A 4,175-nucleotide genomic window follows, 5' to 3' on the forward strand; every position below is an offset into this window, starting at 1 on the left:
TTCTCTTCCCTCCTAACTTTGTATCTCTCCCCTCACACCCTTTCTGTGTCGCACATACACACAGCCAACACTGACCTCTTTCCTCAAACATCAACTCATACCTCCAATTGCCTCCTGAATTTTTTTTTTTTTCTTGAGATAGAGTTTCACTCTTGTCACCTAGGCTGGAGTGCAATGGCACAATCTCGGCTCACTGCAACCTCCACCTCCCAGGTTCAAGAGATTCTTCTGCCTCAGCCTCCCGAGTAGCTGGGATTACAGGTGCCTGCCACCACACCCAACTGATTTTTTGTATTTTTAGTAGAGATGGGGTTTCACCATGTTGGCCAGGCTGCTCTCAAACTCCTGGTCTCAGGTGATCCGCTTGCCTTGATCTTCCAAAGGCTGGGATTACAGGTGTGAGCCACTGTGCCTGGCTTGCCTCCTGAATATTTTAATGTTATCTTAGAATGGTAAGCACAGTATGTTCAAAATTTAACTCATTTCTTCCTCTTCAAATATTCCTCTGCCTAGTTCCTTATAAGCTGCACAAGCCACAATAATTTTTCCTCTTCTCTCCTCTCTATACAATAAAAAAGTAATAAGTACTATTGTTTCTAAACTAACTTTCTCTATTCTTCTTACTCTCTTCTGCATCCCCACTGCCAGAGCCTCAGTTCAGACCCTTATACTTTCCCACCTGTAGAACGGCAATGGGGATTCTTCACGAATCTCCTTCTATCCTCAATACTTTTCTTCCAACATTCAGCTGGCCAGCATATCCTGTCACTGGAGTAGACTAATTTTTCTAAAACGTAAACCTGATAGTAATGTTACTTAACAATTTCTTAATGGCTTCCTATTGTGTTCAGAATGAAATCTGATGACTTTAGCATGGCACAAAAAGTTCAATGGCTTGGTTCTTGCTTGCTTGCCTCCCAGTCTTGTCTCCTGCGAATTCCTCAGGAGCACCTGGAAATTCAGAGATACCAATCTGTGGTCATTGAAAGACAATACTTGGTTCTTTATACGGGTCATTGCTATGGTCTGAATGTTTGTGCCTGCCCCCCATTCATATGTTAAAATCCTATGAATTAGGAGCTGGGGGCCTTAGGGAGGTGATGAGGTCGGGACGGTAGAGCCCTCATGAATGGTATTAGTCCCTTTATAAAAGAAGTCCAAGGGAGCTTATTCACTCTTTCCACCATGTGAGGACGCGGTGAGAAGATGGCCATCTTTGAACTAGCAAGAGGACCTTCCCAGACTCCCAGTCTATCATCACCTTGATCTTGAACTTCCCAGCCTCCAGAACTGTGAGAAATAAATTTCTGTTGTGACCCAGTTCATGGTACTTTGTTAAAGCAGCCTCAGTAGATGAAGACAATCTTGTGCCGTCCCTTCTGCATGGGATGCCCTTTTCTTGTCCTTTTCATCTCCACGCACCGTTTTTTTGTGTTTTTTTTGTTTTGTTTTGTTTTTTCTACAAGGTAGAGTATGTTCTACTTCTATTCATTGTGCAAGATCCCAGTCTGAAGTAAATTCTTTTCAAAAGTTTTCTTGACACTCCTGAAATTCCTTTCCCTGTCCTGACTTCCTTCTCTGGTTTCCACATAACAGTCTGTATTCACCTTTAAATTTCAGGTGGATTATCACACTGTAAGGTCACTATGTATTAACCATGAATTGCTTGAAGGAAAATACTTGGTATCCCCAGCACCTAGAGCAGTACCTTGCACAAACTGGGCATTCATAATTACTTGTAAACTGAATGACCAGGCTCAGTGCTCCTATCACATTTTATACATCTTTTCCTCACTGCCTTGTGATTATTTTCTTTTTATGTCTTTCTCTAGTACATTATAAAACATTCTCAACCATTTATGCAATTCCACACACAAAATAAGCACTATAAAAATGTTACCTGATGCAGTCTAATGTAAAATTTTTGGTATATTTCAAAATAGTTTTCAAGGTAAGTATTCATTTTAGAGTGTAATATAAAGGATACATGACCTGTTGCTATTTTCATGGTGACCATAAGATTTAGAGAGGGAAAAAAACTTCACACTAATTTTATAAGAACTTCCTCTTACTCAGTTATTTTAATTTTCTTAGCTTTTCAAGATTGCTCCTAACAAGTATAAGAAGTTGTACCAATGTCTTCCTAAGAGAAATGGAAGAAGCAAGAGGATATAAGAAAAAAAAAAAAAAAGAAAAGGATGAGAAAACAATGAAGGAAGGGAAGAGAGGAGAGGAAAAAGAAAACCATAAACAACAGGTACATGTGTTCCAGTTCATAAGAAACACTTCAAGATATCCTTACACATATTTAAAAACATATATAAATATTTATACATTTGAAAGAATTGATTACAAGTGTGCTAGATCTAACACCAACTTTAACTTGCAAATTTAGTATTTATTAGAAGAAATGAATGTGTTTTATTTCCCCATTAGTTAATATCATGCTTTGTTATATACGACAGTGAATGGGCACTATTTTAATACTGGAATAAAAGAAAAACCAGCATTTCCAGCACATCTTAAATGCATATTCACAGTAGATGAGAATAACAAGTGATTTCTGATGTTTTTTTTTCTAATCTGTTCCATTTTTGCATTTTAATGAACACCTTAAATTTTCTGTTTAAGTCTGTTCCGGCAGTTTTGAATTATTTTCTCTGGGAAAATGATTAAGCAAGAAAATCTCTGTTAGGAGAAGAGTGTGCAGTAATATGAATTAATCAAACACAAATGAAAAAGGATTAAATTCGATGAAGGAGCTACATTTCTAAATATTTTTTCTATCTCTTCAATCAAGACAAGGGTCTTTTTCTTAAGAGCTTATAATCTAATTGGAGAGACAGAGCACATACATAAAAAGATGAATGGCTCTAGGGGGAATCCAAATGAATTGTCCAGACAGTAAATGCTACAGATTTCAGAATCTGGAGAAGAGCCCGAAAGCCTAGGTGGCTAAGTCTTGAACTGATCTTCAAAGAAATGAGACGGGGGATCTTCAACAATGGAGTGTGACTGTTAATGAGCACAGAGTTTGTTTTGGGGGTGATGAACATCTTCTAAAACTATGGTGATAGCTGCACAACTCTGACTATAATAAAAGCCATTGAATTACATATTTTGAATTGATGAATTGTACAGTATATGAATTACATCTCAGAAAAGCTTTTATATTAAAAAATATTAGCTATGGTCTTGGCATCAGTTACATAAATGGGGACTGAGGCTGCTAAGGACATTATGTTTTCCTCTTTTTCTTTCCTCTACTTTTTAATAAAAGGGATGTTGGCTGTGCTTAACTTTACAGTTGAGTTTCACAGTCGCTAGGCCAATGAGAAATTACATCTGAAATAGATGTAGATAACTGCATATCATGAGGAGTCCCTGAGTTATTGAGATAGACATAGGGACAGACACAGAGGTTTGTATCTCCTTTCTTTAGGAGCACACGGGAAGAACTTTCTACAAAGAATACTTACAACGTATTAGGTGGAAGCTTGGTGGTATTGCATGAGAGGAAAAGATGGCTGAATAGTAAAAATGGATACAGAATAATCCATTTTTGGCCTATTTTGCTGTCACATCCTGTCTTCACTCTCCTCTGACTCTGGTCCATATAGCAGAGTTGGGTAGGGAGGAAGGGAGGGATGAATTCTGTAGATTGCATTTCCCAGGTTATGATCACCACTGGCTTCCAGATTGGTTTGGTCAGTAGGAGGCACCAGGGGAGACTGGTGGACAAGAAGAAGTAAGAATCTAGGGTACTTCTCACCCTCTCTTCCTGACTTGAACAGCTTCTCTGGGAACAGCTGCATCTTTCCTGTTGCTATAGCTTCTGGCATAGTTCCAGTTTCTTCTGAGTGAACTTAAATCTTGAGCTTTCTACAAAACTTCCTCTCCTCATCCTTCTAGCTAAGATTAGCATTTGCTAATCTATGTGTTGCCTCACCATCCCTTGTGCTATGATCTAAATGTCCCCCCAAAATTCATGTATTGGAACTTGATCACCACTGTGGTGGTCAAAGAGATGGGATCTTTTGGGATGTGATTAAGTCCTGAGGGCTCTGCTCTGAGCAAGGGATTAGTGCCTTATAAAAGGGCTGGAGGGAACTAGCTTAGGCCCCCTTTGACCTTCTACCTTCCACCTTCCACCATGTAGGGACACTGCGTTTTTC

At 38.9% G+C, this 4,175-nt stretch overlaps 1 annotated feature.

The window, feature by feature from the left end:
* Positions 698 to 1,248: an enhancer, noted in NCBI's record as "OCT4-NANOG hESC enhancer chr6:145327891-145328441 (GRCh37/hg19 assembly coordinates)". NCBI's record gives its function as "activates a minimal SCP1, AML or CMV promoter by ChIP-STARR-seq in naive H9 embryonic stem cells {active_cell/tissue: H9 hESC(naive)}" and the evidence as "EXISTENCE:reporter gene assay evidence [ECO:0000049][PMID:30033119]".

This window comes from Homo sapiens, chromosome 6, assembly GCF_000001405.40.
Source record: "Homo sapiens chromosome 6, GRCh38.p14 Primary Assembly".
Taxonomy (NCBI): Eukaryota; Metazoa; Chordata; class Mammalia; order Primates; family Hominidae; genus Homo; species Homo sapiens.